Source organism: Homo sapiens, chromosome 13 (assembly GCF_000001405.40).
Source record: "Homo sapiens chromosome 13, GRCh38.p14 Primary Assembly".
Taxonomy (NCBI): domain Eukaryota; kingdom Metazoa; phylum Chordata; class Mammalia; order Primates; family Hominidae; genus Homo; species Homo sapiens.
Window position 1 is genome coordinate 42,116,915 of NC_000013.11, and position 21,550 is coordinate 42,138,464.

Sequence of the window (21,550 nt, forward strand, 5' to 3'; positions counted from 1 at the left end):
AAAACGATTTTTCAAAGTCAGGTTCATTGATCTTTTTGCTTTTAATTTTTTTAAACTAGGTTATTGGATTCCAGTTGGAGTCTATATGGCTTTACTGATTTTCCATGAGGGTCAGGTAGTACTAAACCATTAACTGCCAGATTATATGACTAAATGGCAGTTAATACAAATGTTTCTAAGCCCTTTTTGGGAGGAGGGGGGAGTTAATGCCTCATCCTAGAATTTGTGAACAAAGTAAAACTAAAACATACTTGCTTTTAACAGATTCTTAACCATAACTCTGATTATAACTATTTCTTATATTTGTTACTAACTTTGTTATTTTGGTTGAACATTAATATCGAATATAATAGCATGATTTTTAAAAAATGAATCTTTGTTTCTTCACTTGGTATACTCATTATTTTGAAATATTTGGAGCCACTTGCTTTTTTCTTAACCACACTTTGATTGTATGATTATATTTGCTAGAGCTGTTACAAATTAATCACTTTTTGGTTATGCTTGTTCTTTTATGAGAAGCGTCTGTTTAGCCGTACATAAACAGAAGTTTATTTTGAGGATTAACTTTCACGTGAATAACTGCCTCCCAGCTAAATCTTTTTAATCATATCTTTTAGAGGAAGGCAAGAATGTTTTTTCCTTTTCTTTTTTTTCTTCAAGAATTTAAAATTAGCTGTTTGTATATTGTAACATAGAGAGGTTTGTAGCTTCGTGAAGGCAAGGACTATATTTTATACATCTTTATATATACACCACAGCCTCACACATCACAGGAGATTAATACATGCTTATGTAAGATTTGAAGAATGTAATAATTCTATAGAAAAAACATAAATTATTTGCTTTGAAAATGACTCTATAAGGAACATCTCTAAATGCACAATATTCTCATAAAAAATCAGGATAGACATTTTCTGCCCCTCCAGAGGTATACCTTTGAGCGTTGTGTCCATTTTCATACACGTGAAAAGAAACAGCCTGAAATCTGCTGAACCCTGGAAACCATAAAGGCATTTCCGGCCAGGCGTGGTGGCTCACACCTGTAATCCCAGCACTTTGGGAGGCCGAGACAGGCGGATCACGAGGTCAGGAGATGGAGACCATCTTGGCTAACATGGTGAAACCCCGTCTCTACCAAAAAGACAAAAAATTAGCCGGGCGTGTTGGCGGGCGCCTGTAGTCCCAGCTACTCGGGAGGCTGAGGCAGGAGAATGGCATGAACCCGGGAGGCGGAGCTTGCAGTGAGCCCAGGTCGCACCACTGCACTCCAGCCTGGGCAAGAGAGAGAGACTCCGTCTCAAAAAAAAAAGCATTTCCAGCCTGTGTTTCTTGTTTACTCATTGATACCATTTCCCCTCAATCAGGGGCCCAGCGCTTTCCCGTTTTCTAATTTTTTGTCTTTGTTTTAAAATACACAGTTACCTTACATACCATTGTATACTGTTGGTAAAAGTTGTTTAGGTCAACTCAACCAACATTTATTTATGGAGGCCCTATGATGTGTTACCTAATGCCATGGATGGTGATGTTACAAAAATGGGTAGGTTGCTGTCTTTGCCCTCTTAAAGGCCGCGACCTGGTGGGACCATAAATATGTGGATGGACACTGTTCAGTGTCATAGGTGCTGTTACACAGACAGGATAAGGATGTATTAGAGACCCGAAGGTGGGAGTGGTGGCTTCTTCCTACCCCTACGGGGTCAAGGACGCCTTCCCAGGGCTAATGGTGCTGGATGAATGTTGAGATGAATAGATTTCAAGACAGACAAGTGGAGCAGAGGATATTTAGGGCAGAGGAAGGAGCTTAGGAGGGGTAGGCCACGCATTTGGAGGGCTGTGTAGGGGCCTTCTATGGTACATGTAGGAGCTTGGACTTTATGTAGCAGGCAGAAGAGAACTAATGAAGGGCTTGAAGCGGTGGCGTAATTTAACTAGATTTTCATTTTAGAAAATTACACGCAAAACCATGGGAGAATGAAGTAGGTTATTTACATTTCCTTAAAACAGTACTTTTAGAACATAAATAGACCAAACATTAACTTTTCTTCCCCATTGCCTTAAACAGAACTTTACAAAAATCCGAATACACCCACTTCTGCCATTTGAATTTCCAAATGATTTATTCTTTGGCCAAGATGTATTTTTATAGCACTTTAATGTTCTGTGTTTGGGTTTAGGAATTATGGGCTGCCTACCTTGGGTGACACCAGATGCTACGGTGATGCAGCTCATCATATAACTCTCCGGAATCCCCCTTGGCAGTGGCTGCAGGCTTCCCGTATTTCTCCTCAAAGCATCTTGAAATAGGACTGTATTGAATGGGCATGACTGGACTGCATATTTTAGGCATTTTCAGGAAAAGAAATAAAGAATTTGTATGTGAATGAATCTGAGCAAGCATCTGAAAGAAGAGGAATGGATTTAGAGTAACAAAAGACTAGCATGATGTCACATGACAAAGTTCAGAGACGCTCCTCTTAGCCGAGGTGGCTTCCCATGGTGTTACTGGTCATCTGCACTCTGGTCCAAAAAGCAGTCCTGTGGTCAGTGCTAGGCCATAAGTCTTCAGTTCTGAACACGGTGAGATGGCTCTTCCATGACATTCAGTGTAGTTTCTTTCTCCTTCTCTCACTAACTTTGTTAGACTAGAAGCTACATTATCCTCTTAAAAGTTTTTAGCTCTTATCCCAAGGACTTTCTGGGATATTTAAGAGTGTTGTAATCTCTTCTTTTTAAAAAAATTATTTACATTATGGTAAAAATTTTATAACAAAAATTTTATAACAGAATTTACTATCTTAATCATTTCTAAATGTGCATTTCAGTAGCTTTAAGTATATTCACATTGTTTTGCCATGTAATCTGTATGTTTTTAAATGAATACTTCATATTCCTTTCTCATCAAGTTAATGATTATTTAACATACTATCAAGTCTTGATTTTTATACCTCTTATTTTTTGCACATTCTCTTTTTAATCATAAATGCTGAATCAATGTTATTTTTTTGAAGAATAACTCTCTTAAATACTGATAATACAAACTTTGATACTTCCTTTCTACTGTGGTTATATTTTCCCCATATTATCTTTTGACCTCTCTCTATGGCAGTGTCCTTTTATGAGTCACAAGTGCACACTTTATGCAGCAGTGAACCATGAAACTGGATAGGACATTAAAGACTCTGAACCGTTGTTTGGTTATTTCAGGTTATTGAGGTGTGGGTGCTAATTGAGCTTTCCTAGTCTAAAGTGAAAATAATATGTTACCCAGAGGTTCCACATCTCCAATCTTGGTTTGAAAATAAACTAGGACTGAAAACATGGAATGAAAATATATTCTTTTGTGTTTTGAAGGAATGAATATTTGAATTCAAATTAATTTTTCTTAGGGTAAGCTTTTCATTTTTATAAAATAATGTTTAATCATCTTGGGAAGAACAACTATGTAGTATATCTTCAAAAATAAAATTTTCAAATTGAATAAATAAGTATATTTCAAACTTTCGAATTAGGAAATGCCTGTATATTTTAGGATTTGTTTGGTTATATAATTATTAACTACTGCTGAAAATGCAACAGAAAATTGGAACTCAAAATTTTTCAGTTATTGCTCTCTAACCTCAAGTAATATCAAATTACGCTGTTTCAAATGGTATAGGAGACCATTAAGCTAACTGAAGACAAAGTTTAAAAGAATTATTATTTGTTACCCATAACCATATTAAGGATATGATTTATTTAAAAAACAACAACCAAAAAACTAATCCAATTATTTAAAAAACAACCACCAAAACACTAATCCAATTTACTGTTATATGGAGGCTGTAATTTTTAGTTATGGTAGATCTCGAAAGTTCATGAACCCTCTAAAATTGTATGTAATTTTTAGTGTGTATATTGTGTGTGTATGTGCGCACATGCAGGCATGTTTCTGGAGAGATAGTATTCACAACTTTCAACAGATTCTGAAAAGGCATCTTGATCCAACCAAAGTTATGAACCACTGTCACAGAGGTTACTTTGCCCATTTTCCTTTTTACTTACAGACCCCAACCCACAACTAGATTTTGTTCCAGAAGTAGTTTGTTTATGAACTGGTTGTTTGGAACTTAGACCACATTTTTCTATGAAAGTAATAATATATATTATACACACACACACACACACACACACAACATGCGCACACACACACACACGCACACAAGACATTCCCTGACTTACAGTGGTTCAACTTAATAATTTTCCAATTTTCTGATATGAAAGCAGTATGAATTCAGTACAAAACGTACTTTGAGTTCTCATGCAACCATTCTGTTTTCACTTTCAGTGTGATATTCAATTACATGAGATATTCAATACTTTATTAGAAAATAGGCTTTGTATTAGATGATTTTGCCCACCTGTAGGCTAACGTAAGTGTTCTGAGCACGTTTAAGGTAGATTAGGCTAAGCTGTGATGTTCAGTAGGCTAGGTATATGAAATGCATTTTTGACTTACAATATTTTCAACTTATGATGAGTTTATTAGTATGTTCATTGTAACTTGAGGAGCATCTGTACTTACATAAATTATAGAACCTTCACAATGGTGATACAAAGACAAATGAGATAGACCTCCCGGACTCCAAGGAGTTTATAATCCAGGCCAGTGCAAAAGGCAGGTAAAACCTATCCTCAGTTGAGATTGACCTCCTAATTTGCCTGTGACCTTCCTGTTCATTTTTCTGCAGCTATGTCAGGACTCATTCCTTCTCACCACTACACCCATAGAAGTATTAGGCAACTGGTATCCTTGGGATTCAGACACATGAGACTATAGCATGGGGACTTAAGCGTTAAGGCAGATTTATGACATGGTTTCTATGGAAAGATGTACTCCTAGTTCTAACTTGGAACCCAGGTTCCTGGGACACAGAGAGTCCTTCACTTGGAGCCTCATTAGTGGATACTGTCTGTGTGATGAATGAAGAGTACACCTCACCTCCGCCGTGGAGTCTCTCCCTCAAGAGTTCTTTACACAGCCAGAATAAAGACCTTCTCATTACTAATGACCATTTGTGTTTGAAATATTCATAAGTCAGACTTTTCTTTCTGAGGTGCGGCATGAAAAATTTTCCCCACTACCCCAATTAGGTTCTTGATGAGGGACATGATAGTTCTTTGTAGCTAGACTACATAATTTCTGGTAGAACTTTTATAATATATGTTAGTTGTTGACCAAAGGGAGAAGCTAAAGGGTGAAAGAGGGCAGAAAGAGAAAGTGGAATGAGAGGGCATGAGTGCTTCATGATGTCATCACAAGATTTAGCTTCTCATTATGCCACATAAAGAGTGGCAGTTTCTTAGTTCATTTTTCTTGCTTAGAACACCTGAGGCTGGGTGATTTATAAGGAAAATAAATTTATTTGTTACAGTTCTGGAGGCTGGAAAGTCCAAGGGCATAGCTGGGCATCTGGTGAGAGCCTTCTTCCTGGCAGGGACTCTCTGCAGAGTCCCAAGGTTACACAGAGTATCACATGGCAAGGGGGCTGAGCATGCTAATGTGCTAGCTCAGATCTTTCTTTCTTCTCTTGTAAAGCCATCAGTTCCACTCTCATGTTAGCCCATTGATCCATTAACCATTAATCTATGTATGGATTAATCCATTCATGCAGGCAGAGCACTCATGACCCCATAGCTTCTTGAAGGCTCTAGGTCTCAACACTGCCATATTGAGGATTGTATTTCATCATAAGTTTCAGAGGGGACATCAAATTATAATAGACAGTGTCAGTCTTTCTTTATAATTCTTCATGTTTTCTACAGGTCCTGGGAAAGCTTTTTAGATTAGACTGTTAGCGTATCTTGTCATTGCATATGATGTGTGCACATATTTTGAAACATGGATCAAGAAGACATGCTCCACCTATATAGATGAATAGGAGGAAATTTTGTCTTCAGAGAATACAGCAAAGAGTGGTCATGTTTTGGAGTTAAACATGAATTTACACTAAGAATTATAATTACTTTAGCCAAATAATTTTGCAAGATGTTCTTTGATTTGACTAAAAAATCTGTATGATCCAAGACCACAATAATTTTTAGCGTTATAAAAAGATGTGACTAACTTTAGAAAAGTCAGATTGGATTAGCTTGTACATTCACCATTTGCTACCAAAAAGCCAACGTAGAGGACTGTGGTCTATTTCTTAGTTACATATTAGCTACATTAAGTCGCTAATTCCTCAAATATGGAGGTGCCTCTTTATGGATATGCAAAATGTATATTATAAATTTCAAAAGTTATACATTTTATGATGTTCCTCTAATAGTTTATCTACAGGGTAATTGCTACAAACCAGTATTTTAGATAATTATACCTGTTCATATTTTCTAAAAAAAAAATAAAGCAATGTAGACAGGAAATTAGTAACAGAACAACTGAAAATTGGAATGACTAGATTCTATGTTGAGATTAATAGTCATGCATGTGCAAATAATGTTTTCCCATAGAAGATAATCTTTGTGACTTTGGGTTAGACAAAGCTGTTTTAGATTTGACATGATTCATAAAAGAAAAAAATTGATAAATAGGACTTCATCAAATTCAGGATCCTCTGCTCTTCAAAAGATGCCATTAATACAATGGAAAAAAAAAGTCACAGACTGGGAAGAAATATTTGCAAATCACATATTAGATAAATATCTTGCATCCAGAATATGTAAAGGGCATTTAAGATGCAAAAATAGGAAAACAGTTCAATTTTAAAAATGGACTAAAGATTCAAACAGACATTTCACCAGTGAAGATGTGCACATGAAAAATAAGCAGAGGAAAATGCTCAAAGTCAGTAGTCTTTAGGGAAACGCACATTAAAACCACAATGAGATACTATGTACCTATTAGAATGCCTAAAATTAAAGTGACTGACTGAATGTTGGTGAGGATGTGAAGCAACTGTTGGCAGCAGACCAGTGGTTGCCTGGGGACAGGTAGTGATTATAAAGGGATGCAAGGAAAGTTTTGAGTGTGGCGAATATGTTCAGTATCTTGACTATGGTAGTGGTTTCATGGCCATATTTGTATGTCAAAACATATCAAATTGTATACTTTATGTGCAGTTTCTAATATGATCATGATATCTCAATAAAGTTGTAAATTTTTTTTCCTGTAATGTTGCTTCCTTTGGTTTGTATTTCTGACTTAATTGGTGATAACATAGATTTTATTTCAGGGGTAAATTCTCAAGATATATGACATTTAAAATATACAAAATAATTAGATGATTAATATGGATTTTTAGTCTTTCTGGTATAAATGTCACATAATAAATCTGAATATTTTTGGTAACTGACATGTAGCTAATACTGATACGCACTTACTATAACACTCTCAGCCTCAATAGATTTAAATAATTTGACTTATTTAGAAATTTATATCATTTATGTTTTTCCCCTTTTTAAAAATACCTTTGTTATGCATGTGTTTTAATTTTTATTGTTATAAGCAAAACTTTAGTGTGATTTATGGAATAAAAAGGTAATTATAGAATATAAGTCAGTGTGAATTGCTGGTACATGTTATTTCCTTTCTGTATTGGGATTCCATGTTATGAAATATTGCTAAAAATAAGTAGGCTTTGGGGTGAGACTTGGGGACCTTTTAATTCCTGCTACAGTCAGTGGTGGTAATGGTGTATTTGGTGATGGGATTTGCCCTGTGTTTACATGGGTCCTGAGCTCTGGTGATGGGAGAGATGATAGAAGATAACTTATTCCCATCCCTGTATATTAAGCTGGTACCATGTGGTAGGACATTGAAATGGTTGTTTACACTATAAAAAATGAGTTGCAATTATAAAAACAAAGGCGGAGGAGGGAGGCCATAGAATGCTGGCATTAAATCTTATTTTTCTTAAGAGTCTGTGCAAAATGGGGCCTGGAGTTTCACTCCAGGAGCACTTTTAGCTGCTGCCACATGAAGCTTATTAAGGGCAAGATTTTCTCCTGACACCTGGCCTTTCTCACTGCTTCCTCTCAGGAGACCTCTCTTACCATTGCTTCTGTGTGGACTCCGACAGCTATAATTGGTTTAGATGTGCAGCTAGACCCTCCCCTAGTCTAAGGCAGTGGTTTTCCACCGTGGCTGCCATTTGAATCGCCACCTCCTTTCTCACCCGTTTCCCCATTGTCACTTTCCTGCCTTAAACATTTCCCTAGCTTTTTGCACTTAGAAGAAAAAGCACACTCCCTGTTGTGTCCAGCATATTCTGACTCTTGTCTCCTATAACCTCCTCTCTTGATACAGTCCTACTCCAGCTGTTATTTGTCCTGACAGTGGCTGCAAACACTTATTTACTTCTTACAAGAAGCTCTTATAATTTGATGCCTGGCAAACACTCCCTGGACTTAATAGCATAATGATATCATAATAATAACACTTTCTGCCATCTATTGAATGTTTTCTCTAACCCAGACAGTGTGCTAAGTGCTCTACAGGCATTATCTTATAATTAAGTTAGATGCAACAAGCTTGTGAAGTTGGTATTGTTATTTCCGATTTTTAGGAGACAAAACTGAGGCATAGAGTTGGGGTAATTTGTCCAGGTTCATACTGTTATTGTATGCTGGAGCCTGGCTTGAAATCTGTCTGTCTGACTCTAAATTTGCTCTTTGGTACTGACTTTCAAAAGTGTTTTGTTACGATTAAATTGTAATGATTTCATAACAGTTCCAGGAAGACAGTCTTAGAGCAAGCTGTAGAGTAAAATTCTTATTGAAATTCAAAGTAAATATTAACTCAACTTAACTGTCTTATTGGAGACAACAAACTTTTCTCAATATATTATGTCTTTATGGTAGTAAGAAATAGTGTCATGTAAAAGTTGGAAATGAACTGTGGAATCAGACAGACAGAAATATGATCTCAGCACCTGCCATTTATTCATATAGATCTCATTATCATATGTAGCAGATAATGTTCTAGGCACTGGAGATATTGTCAGTGTGCAATCCAGTGGGATGATTAAAAATTTTGGTTCTACAAGCTGTTTTTGTCTTGGAGGCTCACTATAGCACTGTAACTCTTTATTGAATGCTGTATAAATGTGATCCATCTTGGACCCTATCCTAAGGGGGTCTATTTGAGCCAGTGTTGTGACATGGCCTCTAAGGTAATCCTATAGAAAGGCTCTAGTGTAGTTTGCTTTCTTTTTTCCTTCCTCTCTTCTTTCCATCCAATTAAAATGAAACATTAAATTTAACTTTTTTAGATATAATAAACTCAGGGACCTTATATTCTAATAGGGGTAGCACAATAAACGTAGTAAATTACATTATGTGTCAGAAGATGGAAAGTACTTCGTGGGGTGGGTAATAAGATCAGGATGGGGGAAAATATGGTGAGCAAGCACAAGTTTCAGTGTGAAACACGCAGTTACTCAGGTGGGTCTCATTGAGATGGTCAAGACCTGAAGGAGGTGAAGGGGTCAGCCAGAGGGATATCTGAGGGAGGAGAGGGGAGGTAGTGCCAGCCTACAGCAGGAGTATGTAGGCCCACTGCAGAAGAACGCAGCCATTGTGATGGAGGAAATCAAGAGAGGGAAACGCTAGATGAGGTCAGAGAGGTTCAAAGTATTTTGCTGGTGAAAACAAAATGAACTAGCATACCTAAGGCACTTAACCAGAGCCTGGCCCAGGGCCACAGAGTCCCTGCCTACCTCTTACAGCTGCATCTCCCTCTGCTCCCTCTTGCAAACTTTTCACTGCATTTATAGCAGAAAGCTCTTTGAAGATGCCTCAAATATCCATGTTGTTTTAACCTTTCTACTTTTGCACACACCTAAAATGCCCTTCCCCCATCTCTTGTCATAAACTCCTTCAAGACCCACCTTGGGCCCTTGTCTGGGAACATTGCTTTGACTCCCTCTGAGGCGAGTTGATGCTTCCTTCTCTGGACCACCTGCATAGTACTGTGTATATGTTAGAAATAACACCTGGCTGATGGTAACTAACTTTAATGAGCACATACTATACACCATGCACTAAGTCCTTTAACGTGTTTTTCATTTATTTCTCACAACAACCCTATAAGGTATGTCCTATTGTCATCCCCATTTTACAGATGAATAAATAAAGCCATGAAGAAGTTTAGTAACTTGCCTGAGATCATCCAGCTACTAAGTGGTGGCACCAGGAGGTGAACCCAAGGTTTCTGGCTCCAGGACCTCTGCTCTTTCGTAATCATATTATACTGCACCTCCACCATACTTAATATATACAAGGCAGTGTGCACATAACACTGTATTGCAAGTATTAGTGTATGTGCATGTGTCTTGCCTATTATTTGTGAATTCTTTGAGGGCGGAGAACCATGTCACATTCACTTTTGCTCTTTGGGGCTTTGCACATATGCAAAGCTGTGGTGAGAGTAAAATATTCTCCTGTAATTTGTAAGACATGAGAAATATTATTCAAAATGTTAATGAAAATGCACCATTGGCTCTGAATTTCATTTGGTTTTGAATTTCATTTTAATCGTGTCATTGTGCTTCTGCTTCTCTCTAGACCAGTATTAAAGAGGGACAGCTATTGAAGCAAACCAGTTCTTTCCAAAGGTGGAAAAAGCGATACTTCAAACTTCGAGGCCGCACCCTTTACTATGCAAAGGACTCAAAGGTAACTCACGAGAATACTAGTTTCAAGCAATTGAGGCTATGGATGGATGTAAAATTTTGGTTCTGTAAGCTGTTTTTGTCTTGGAAGCGCACTGTAGCATTATGCTCTTATATGAATTCAATATAAATGTGATCTATCGGTGACCCCATCCCAAGCGGGTCTATTTGAGTCAGTCCCATAACAGGTCCCTAAGAATAATCTTTTAGGAAGGCTCTAGTGTAGTTTCATTTCGTTCTTCCTTTCTTCTTTCTTTCCAATTAAAATAAAACATTAAATGTAACCTTATTAGATGTAATAAACGCAACATTCTGGGTTTCCACCTTTTACCTTGTAAATCTTTCCCTGACCATGAGAGAGAGAGAGAGAGAGAGCTGCTATAGTTGCTAAGAATTCATGCTCTGTGTTCAGACAAGAGCTCATATCCCACTTCCAGCATATTCCAATGGAGTGGCTGTGGACAGCATGTGTTGCTGAGAGGAGGCTTAAAGGAGAAAATACACATCAAGAGCTTCCATAGTACCTGATTCAAAATAATCACTCCAGTATGCTAGCAATTAGGAATACAAATCATATTGAAATAAAATCAAGACTTAAAATATTTTTTATATAACCATTGAATCAAATAATAATAATATAGTTTTGGGAGAAGCAATTTGTAAAAACTCGTATTTTAGTATTCAAAAATAAATTAAGATTTCTGGCTACTGTGCCAGTTGAATAATTAATTATTTTCATTTTTATAAATGTATGCTCCTGATATAATTGGTAGGGTTGTACACCAGGAGGTAAAAACAAGCAAACAAACCTAATTCTAAGTTTATGTATCTATAGAAGTAATAACCATGTAAAATAATCTTATTTTACAAGTCATTATGTTCAAAATTGTCCCTGATCTGTCTCCATCCTGATTTTTCACATTTATCTCTAGACAGCATTGGCTATTTGACAGCCTCCAGTTTGGGCTCATGCTACCATCACTAGGATGACTTTTCCTTTTCCATCTGCACTTGACAAAGTTCCCTGTTTTCTTCAAGATCCCCTCAAATAGTCCTTATTCCATGATTCACGAGAGAGAGTTCAGTTTTCTGCTGGATAAATCATCTGTGATCTTCTATAGCATTTCATTGTATTTCTTCTCTTTTAATTGTCTATCTTACCTTAAAGTTAGTTGTGTCTATTTAATCTCCTGTGCTAGACTGTAGGTTCCTTCCAGTCAACGAACAAGTCTTACAGTCACATTGGTTGAATTGAAGTAGACTAGTTCTACAGTCTACTTCAGTTTCAAGTTCCGCTGTCAACTACTTCAAGTTCTAGTTTCCGCAGTTCTTGCGGTGCACCGTTATCCCTGCCTTGCTGGAACAACGCTGAATGAGTATGAACAATGAGTGACTAAAAGTGGGAAGCCTACATTTATTGACTAGGATTTCCTACTTGCTACCTTGGATGTTAAGAGTATACAAAAAAGGTCATCTGCTACTTGCAAAGCAAATTCATTACCTCATTTGAACGCATAGTTATAGATGAGGAAAATAAGGTTCAGAAGGTTCAGTTACTTGTTGTGAGCTAAGCCAGGACTGGTTCTCAGCTCTCACCTTGCAAACCTGGAAACAATGATATTGCCTCTGCCTCCCTGGCAGAGCTGTTACAAGCTTCAGAGACATTGCATTGTGCATGTGTATGCCACGCACTCAGCAGGTTCCCCGTAAGTGGTAGCTGTTATGCTTCCAGAGAGCACAGCACATTTGCATTGAAACAGTGTTCCCAGGGTGTCTTTAAAGCCCTTTTCAGTTGGGGATTTATGGATTAGTTGTACTTTATGCTTTTATTTTTCCTTTCTAGGAAGAAATTGCAGAAAGTACCACCAACTTAACTTTTTTCCCCCATTTTCTATTCCTAATTCCTGTATTGAAAAAATGTATTGAAGAGCATTGAGTTAGGTTTTCTTCTAATGTCTTTGTATGTTTTTTTTCATTAACAGTCTCTGATATTTGATGAAGTTGACCTCTCAGATGCTAGTGTAGCTGAAGCAAGCACGAAAAATGCTAACAACAGCTTCACGGTATGGTTATATTCTGCTAACTCCCTTCTCAAAAGTTATAGAATGACCTTTCTTAAGCGTGTACAGAATGCCCTGTTCAATTACAAACTGTTGCTAACTTATGCATGTTGGAGTTCCTACCAACACAATCAGCTTTAAATACACTGTATATTCTAACACCCAGTACCAGTTATGACTCAGTTAACCTGAGGTTAAATATACTTTTTAAAAATTTTATAATTTTTCCCTTTTAATTTTAGTGCTTTAAGTTTTTCACCTCCTCTAAATTAATACTTCAATTAATTCCATTGTTCTTGAATATTTAAGAAGTTTATTTACCTTCAGTCTTAAATATAATATTTTCTCCATGTAGCCTACTTTCACTCCATTTCACCCCAGTTGCCATCGTTCAGGCAGTTGCCATAGTTCAGGTCACTTCTCACTTAGGTGATTCATTCGGCAGCTCTGTTCCAGTTTCTTCTTTTCTGATCACAGATCACATTGCTTAAAAAGACCTCACTGGTTCCACATTGCCTGCAAATGGCATCCCCCAACTCAGTCTTCAGATCTTGTAAGATCATGCCTCAGCATTCTAGTATTACCAGACAATTTATTTGTCCTTCTCTGTCCCACCAGTGCAGCAATTCTACCCATGCCTATGCTTTTCCTGTTCCCTCTGACTTCAGTGATTCCTCCCCCATCTGTCACGGTGGGAATCCTACCAATTCTTCAAAGCTTATTTCAGATAACCCATTTTTTTCCAGCTTCTTTCATTCACAAAGTATGGATTGAGTTCCCACCATGTGTTAAGCACAAGAAATTCAGAGGTGAATGTGTATGTATATAATTTCCCTCAAGATATTCCTGACGTCGTTCAGCCCAATTTCATGTGGGCTACTTTTTATAACTACATACTCCCTAGGTCTTCAAAGGTGCATTGTTCTTGCTGTGTTGTCACTCCCATCCACACTCCCAGTCCTCCCTGGAAAGCTACCACTCCTGACAGCAGTGTGCAGTGTCCATCCCCTAGGCATGACAGAGCAGGGGAGACAGACTGCTAAACAGGTGCACAGCGGTGCCATGATAGAGGTGAGCACTGGTAGGGGTTGGGGGAAGAGAGGACACAAATGAATTCAGATGTTGCCTTATTGATTTATGGGCATGTGGGTTAATTCATAGTGTAAATATTCCTCCCCGTCTCCCCTGATCCCCAGGGAGAGTTTAGTTTGAGAAGAGGAAAGCCAAGAATAGAGTCCTGGGAAAATGTTAAAATTCAAGGTTTAACCAATAAAGACTGAGAGCATTCTTAAGTAAAGGAGAATCAGGAGTCAGTGATGTTATAAAAACCAAGCAGAAGAGAGTTTCAAGACAGATGCTTTGACACGTCCTATACTGTAGAGAGGTCAAGTCAAAGAAGAATTGAAAAGTGATGGTTCAATTTGTTAACTTGGAGGTCATTTGGTCCCATTGATGTGAGTAGTTTCAGTGTGGGGCAGGCTGGGGGCAGGCATTAGGCTGTACTGTGAATGCAAAGTGAAAGGCAGGCAGAGACAAGGTAGGTAACTGTTTTCTAAAAGCTTGGCTGTTAAAAGGAGAACAGAGATAGCTAGTAAAATGTTTCATCCAGAAGAGAATTTTAGTTTTGTTGTTGTTCTTTTGTTGTGTTTTAAAAATGATTTTGAATGCATTTATATGAAGAGAGGAGGAATAGTTAGAACCAAAAGTTGAAGACTCAGGAGAGAGAGGGAATGACTGATGAAGCATGATTGCTGAGTAAGCTGACGGGTGTAGGAATCAGAGCGCAGGTTAAGAGATCAGCATTGAACGGGAGACAGAAAGCTTACAGAGGCAGGTGTGACCAGGAAGTTTATATATTTCAAAACCAAATACTGTTTTCTCATTGAAATTGAAGGATAAGGTTATTTGCTGTGAGTGAAAGTTGAGGATGGTTAATAGTGGCTTCTATAGAAAAAGATAATCGAAACTGAACAGGGACCTATAGATGATTACTAAGTAGTGAGTGGTGTCTACCAAAGATTGGAGATCAAGTTTAGTAATGTTGTTACTCGCTGTGCTTATAACATTTTCTTTAAGTGGGAGTAGAGAACAAACAAATGAATTGATCCAGGGTTGGTGGTTTATAGGGCATATTGGACAGAAAGAGAAAGGGAGAGATTGCTAGATATTTGAGGGATTGTTAACTCATCCATCTCCCTGCTCTTCTCAGTTTTTGAGACTACAGTACAAAGAGTAGGGGACAGCTTTGGCTGAACAGGATCCAACAACCACTAAATGCAGAGCTTCTGATGAATTGTTGGAGACCTAAGGCCAAAACCTTGCTTATTCCTTCTTTCTTCCACTTGAAGGTGGGGTAGGGTGAGATAGAAAGAACTTCACCAGTCCTACTAGTAGGATTAGCCACTTGCTTTTCCCTGAGCAGTGAAGAATAATCGTCTCTCTGCTGGAGCCTCATGGAGGGTGAATAAGGTTTTCCCCCAATCAACATTTATTTGTTTTTTAATGCTTTTTATTTTTTTAATGACACACAATGATTGTACATATTTGTAGGATACATAGTGATGTTTCGATATATGCAATGTACAGTGATCAGATCAAGGTAATTAGGATATCCATCATCTCAAACATCAACCATTTCTTTGTGTTGCACACATTCAATATTTTCCTGTGGCTGTTTGAAGCTATATAATATGTTATTGTTAACTATAGTCATCCTACGGTGCTATAGAACACTGAAAATTATTCTTCCTATTTAGCTAGAATTTTGTATCCTTTAAGAGTTTAATCTGAAAGAGGGTTTCAGAATTTAAGATTTGAAGCATGCATTAATTTCTGGTGAAGACAAGGTCTAGGGTTTTGGAGTAGGAAATTATTCAAATCCTTATACAGGTCTTTCTTGGCCCTTCAGCTGGGCTTGTGATCTCTCCTGTAATGTCTTTCTTACAGAATTTAGCATATGCTGCCTTATACTTAGTTAAGTATTTATTTTTGACCAGGCACAGTGGCTCACACCTGTAATCCCAACACTTTGAGAGGCTGAAGCAGGAGGATTACTTGAGGCCAGGAGTTTGAGACCAGCCTGGGGAACATAGATTCCCATCTCTACAACAAATACAAAAATTAGCTGGGTATGGTGGCATGCACCTATAGTCCCAGCCACTCAGGAGGCTGATTGCTTGAGGAGTTTGAGGCTCTAGTGAGCCATGATCCCAGCCTGGGCAACAGAGTGAGACCCTGTCTAAAAAAAATTTTTTTTTGGCCGGGCGTGATGGCTCACGTCTGTAATCCCAGCACTTTGGGAGGCTGAGGTGGGCAGATCATGAGGTCAGGAGATCGAGACCATCCTGGCTAACACGGTGAAACCCCGTCTTTACTAAAAAAAATACAAAAAATTAGTCAGGCATGGTGCCACGTGCCTGTAGTCCCAGCTACTTGGGTGGCTGAGGCAGGAGAATCGCTTGAACCCAGCAGGTGGAGGTTGCAGTGAGTCGAGATTGCGCCACTGCACTCCAGCCTGGGTGACAGAGCAAGACTTTGTCTCAAAAAAAAAAAAAATTTTTTTTTTTACTATTTATTTTTATTATAACCTCCTTGAGGATAGGGACTCTGTCATACCTTTTTAATCTTATGGTGCCTTATCCATAAGTATTTGTTGATTTTAACTAATAAGATGAATGTTTATTTTAGGCATGAGAAGACTTTTTGTTGAAATATTTTGAAGAAGTTTCTTCATTCAACCAAATACTATTTTTTTAGTTTACTGGACTAGAAATATAGGGACTGGTTGGGCACAGTGGCTCACGCCTATAATGCCAGCATTTTGGGAGGCTGGTGGTAGGATCTCATGAAGCCAGGACTTTGAGACCAGCCTGGGGAACATAGTGAGACACCCCTTCTCTACAAAAAAAATCCAAAAATTAGCCAGGTGTAGTGGTGCGTGCCTGTAGTGCCAGCTATTCTGGAGGCTGAGATGGGAGGATCGCTTGAGCTCTGGAGTTTGAGGTTGCAGTGAGCTATGATTGCACCACTGCTCTCCAGCCTGGACAACAAAGTGATTCCCTGTCTCTAAAACAAAACAAAACAAAATAAAAGAACAAAGAACAAAGAAACAAAAACAAATGTAGGGACTAAAAAGTTAGGCAGATTGCTTAGGGTTTTAGAGCAAATGAATTTGGTAGAACTTTCCAGGGTATAAAATGGAGCAAGAGACATGTTTTCAACCAGTAATTGACAAACCTTCCTCTCTTTAAATATTTAAATATCTTACCTTCCTCAATTATTGTGACTGCTACTGATGCTGTTATTGTGGCTGGTTTGTGTCAGAGGCTAATGGTGCAGTTTGGTGTATTATGGCTGGAGGATCCAGGAATGGCCAAATTCGACTTCATTTCAGCCATCCCTCCTCTTGCTGAAGTTTCTAAGGGTGATATATTGACAAAGTACAATAGTGGGTGGAAACTACATAAACGGTAAATGGAAAATGGAAAACCTGTGCTTTGCCTGAAAACCCAGTGCTGAACTCTCTGGTAAAATGGGTTCTAGAGATCAGGGCAGTGATTGACCTAGCCTGGGAAGTTCCTCAGTGTCATTTCCACGACATTCAGTTGGTATTCAATTGGTATGAATGAGTCACTAAGGCCAGCCAGGCTTCAAGGGGGGCCACAGACATTAAGACAGTCGTGTCAAAGGATTTGGGACATGATTTAAAACCTACACACAGTAAGATTACTCTTCCTTTCTTGTGCAGTCTCTCACTCCCATCTCTGGAGTTAATAACTTTGTTTTTTCAGTTATCTAAATTGCCTCAGGTATTCTATTAGTTTTCTATTGCTGTATAACAACCAACCACAAACTTAGTGGCTTAAAAAAACAAAGCCCATTTATCTCAGGTTTTATAGGCCACACAGTATTGCTAGATTCTTCTGCTCCAGGTCTTACAATATAAATAAATAGATATGGGTTGGGCAGGGTGGCTCATGTCTGTAATCCCTGCACTTTGGGAGGCTGAGGTGGGTGGGTCACTTGAGGTCAGGAGTTTGAAGCCAGCCTGGCCAACATGGTGAAACCCTGTCTCTACTAAATACAAAAATTTGCTGGGCGTGGTGGCTCATGCCTGTAATCCCAGCACTTTGGGAGGCCCAGGCAGGTGGATCGCTTGAGGCTAGGCGAACCCCCCTTGTCTACTAAATATACAAAAATTAGCTGGACGTATTGGTGCATGCCAGTAGTTCCAGCTATTTGGGAGGCTGAGGCAGGAGAATTGCTTGAACCCGGGAAGCGGAGGTTGCAGTGAGCCGAGATCGTGCCACTGCACTCCAGCCTGGGCAACAGGAAAAGACTCTGTCTCTAAAAAAAAGAAAGAAACAGATATGACAAATTTATATATATACTTGTATTGACTCAAATTAAGCTAATTTTAGCCATAGTTTGAGTTTATGATTACACAAGTGTCTTCTGCCATAATAAAACTTACTAACAATGAAAGTATTTTTTTGTGATTTTAGGTGGCAGTGATGCAATCAGGGAATGGAAAAGGACAATTTCTGACAGGATTTAGGTTAATGTTTATTAATATATTTGTAGTTCAAGCCAGGCATGGTGGCTCATGCCTGTAATCCCAACACTTTGGGAGGCCGAGGTGGGAGAATCACTTGAGCCCAAGAGTTTAAGACCAGCCTGGGCAAAATGGCGAAACCCCATCTCTACAAAAAATGAAAAAATTAACTGAGCATCGTGGTGCATGCCTGTAGTCAAAGCTACTCAGGAGGCTGAGGTGGGAGGATCTCTTGAGCGGAGGTTGCAGTAAGCCAAGATCGCACCACTGCACTCCAGTCTGGGTGGCAGAGAAAGACCCTGTCTCAGAAAAAAAAAAAAAAAAAGAGAGAGAGAGAAAAAGAAAAAAAATAATAATTTATTTGTAGTTTAAGTTCTACCATGGCATTTTCTATGATTGTTAAATCAATAAAATGTTCTTTTTTGTTGTTCATTTAAAAAAATTCATTTTAAAAATTTGATTGCTATCTGCATGGTGTTCTGGAAGTTTCATTTTTATCTTTAACATAGCCCTATGCTGTATGTGAATGTATTCCTCCCAGATGAGGCTAGAGAGAATTGATCTCCTTTTGGTCACACTGATGCCACCCTGGGAAAGGGCTCCCAGACCTCCTGATGTTTAATCTAAGGCTCTTTCCAATCAGACAGAGTCCTTTCTATCTGGGTAGTCTCTGCCTCTACTGTTCTCTTTCTTCCTCAAACACTGCTCTCTTTTCTCACTAATCATGATATGTCTATCCCCAGATTTGTTTTTATTTACCCAATTTGTAGAGGATAGGAGCTTAGACCATGAAAGTCAAACAGCCTGGGTTTGGGTCCTGACTTGGCTACATCCAGTTATGTGACCTTGGACAAATGGGTTAACCTTTCTAAATCCCAGTTTCCTCAACAGTCATTGAGAATAACAAGAGTACCTACCTCATAGGATTATAAGGATTAAATTAAATGTGATAATACACCACAATACCTGCAGTTTAATAAAAGTGGCAGTTATTCTCCCGAGTTTATCATCTCCCTATTTCCAAGTAGCAGTATGTTGCCGATTCCTGAAAGTTTGGGAATTTGGAAGAAGAATGTGGATGAACTTTATCTTGAGAAAACATTCCATGCTGCTTATCTTTCAGAGATATAGCAAAGATTTATTTCCACTTTTATCTCATATTAATAACTATGACTGGGAATAATAAATGAAATTATAATCTGACCATGTTAGGTAAATGTTATTTGCGAAAGAAGAGCTATTTAATGATATGAAAGTCATCACAATCACATGGCATATGTTAACCTTTCAAAGCATGCTGTTCAAATGACTGTTTTCTTTAAATTTTAATGAAGATTAGGCTAACTCTTAAATGAGTCACAATTTTAAAGAAATTTTTGTACTGGTATTGTTAAAACTTCTTATGGAAGTTTGCTAGAGAAAGTAGCATGTGTTTTTTATTTGTTTGTTTGAAGTAGAAAGAAATACATAGGTAATTTAATTCATTTATTTAACCACCCATAACATTTTCTGGGGGCAGTCTGTAGGTGTGTGTGAAATTTCATGGGTACGGCACACCCACATGGGCTTACTCGGTTGATGAAACACAGGCACCCTCTGGTAACACTTATATTTAGAACTAAATGATCACTGGAAGAAAAAGGGATTTTAGTTCAGGGGTCCCTTTCCACAGCAGATGTGAGTAAAGTTTATTAGCATTAGATTATTATTCTTTCTACGAGGGTTTAAAAGGTCTACATAAAAAGACACCAATAAACATGAGAACATACTCTTATGGCACATCAAATATCAGAAATTATGCATTCATAATATAATTGAAATGAGCAGAGTGGGTTTTAGTGGTACAGAACAAAATGTTCTTAAGAATTCCTTTAATGTTTCCTTTCTATTTATTCTGCTTTTCCCTTAGCTTCCTCTCAGTTAATACAGTTTACTTCATCTCTCTCTTAGAGGGAGATCACATCCTTTGAACTTAAAAAGCTGTCAGTTTATTTTTCTCCATTAATCTATCAATATTTACTTACAAAGGCAATAACTAAAAGCTACTTTCTTTTCATATCACTTGTGAATGCACACACACAAAAGGTATTTAGATTATCACCTGAATAATCACTGACAAGTAAGTTGCCTACCTTATTTGATATTTGTTGTAACTGTTATATTTCTGTTCTGAATGCTTTATGTCTGATAACTCATTCAATTCTTTATATGAATCCTAGAGTGCAAGAATTATTGTGATTCCCATTTGATAGATGAAGAATCTGAAACAGAGAGGCTAACATCTAATAATATAATGACTAGAATCTGAACCTGTCCACATCATCTGGCCTCAATTTCTATCTTCATGACTTTGCTATGCTGCGTCTTTATTGTGGAGTTTTAAATAAATGTGGTTTAGGTAGTATTCCTCTAACTGGTTATTACATGTTCAGTTGTTTTTTCTACAAGTCAAGCAGAGTCTTATGCTGCATCACCAGATGAATAGCAAGCACTTGCTGGTCAGACTACAAATTTAGAATATTTCATTGTATTTTGGCACTGTACTTTAAAGAGAAATGTTGACTAAAGAGCTCACAGAGGATGGTAACCATTATTATAAAAAAGGTCTGGGAATCCTGGGATTGATTGGCATTTCAGGGCACTCTTTATTTTAAAAATTTGGAAAAATGTGACAAATGTATTTTTAATATTTGAGGCGTTATCATATAGGAGAGGCTGTAGACAGGTTTTGTGTTACTGCAGTGCGCAGGACCTGTGGTTGAATTCGTGGAGGAATAATTCAAGCTCAGTATAACAGAGAACTTTCTAACTTGAGTCATCTGATAGAACAGGCCCCTTGTGAGGTAATAGCTCTTCCCATTATTAGAAATCTTTAGTCATCTCATTCCCTGTGAGCTGAAAGGGGCCTTCAAGAAGAGAGTTCTCAGAGCAGACTCAGCTTTAGGTGCTGAAATGAATTTCTCAAGGTTAGATGGCTAATAGCAGGGCACAGCTAATATGGAATTCAGGGCTCTCAGCTCTTGATGTTTGTTGGGAATAGGCAAAGAAGAGTGGATTTAGAGACTGCTGGGCACTATGCTAGACACTTTACATATGGAGGCCCATTATACCACACAGCAAGAGCTAAATGACCATCTTTCTAGAATGCAGTTGGGGAGTTCTTTGCACAGTGTGTGCATGTGAGAGGGGGTGAGGAGAGATGGTGGAAACTGAAATTTCCTTGCAGATGCAAAGACTGTGTCTTCTTTACCACTGAATCCTCAAGGCTAACACAGTGCCTG

At 38.1% G+C, this 21,550-nt stretch overlaps 1 protein-coding gene across 8 annotated transcripts in view; it reads left to right on the top strand.

Annotated features, from left to right (window-relative positions):
* Nucleotides 1-21,550, top strand: part of DGKH (diacylglycerol kinase eta) — a 216,515-nt gene that overhangs the window by 76,845 nt on the left and 118,120 nt on the right. For 5 of the 8 annotated variants that reach the window (NR_123715.2, NR_123714.2, NM_001204505.3 and 2 more), the window contains exon 1: nucleotides 21,144-21,235. Coding sequence is in view for 3 of the 8 variants with exons in the window: in NM_001204504.3 (NP_001191433.1) it covers nucleotides 10,549-10,659; nucleotides 12,638-12,718 (192 nt within the window). In the remaining 5 variants the exon portion in view is untranslated. Of the gene's footprint in view, nucleotides 1-10,548; nucleotides 10,660-12,637; nucleotides 12,719-21,143; nucleotides 21,236-21,550 lie in introns of those variants that run through there. The other 3 variants (NM_001204504.3, NM_178009.5, NM_152910.6) reach the window with 1 other exon arrangement.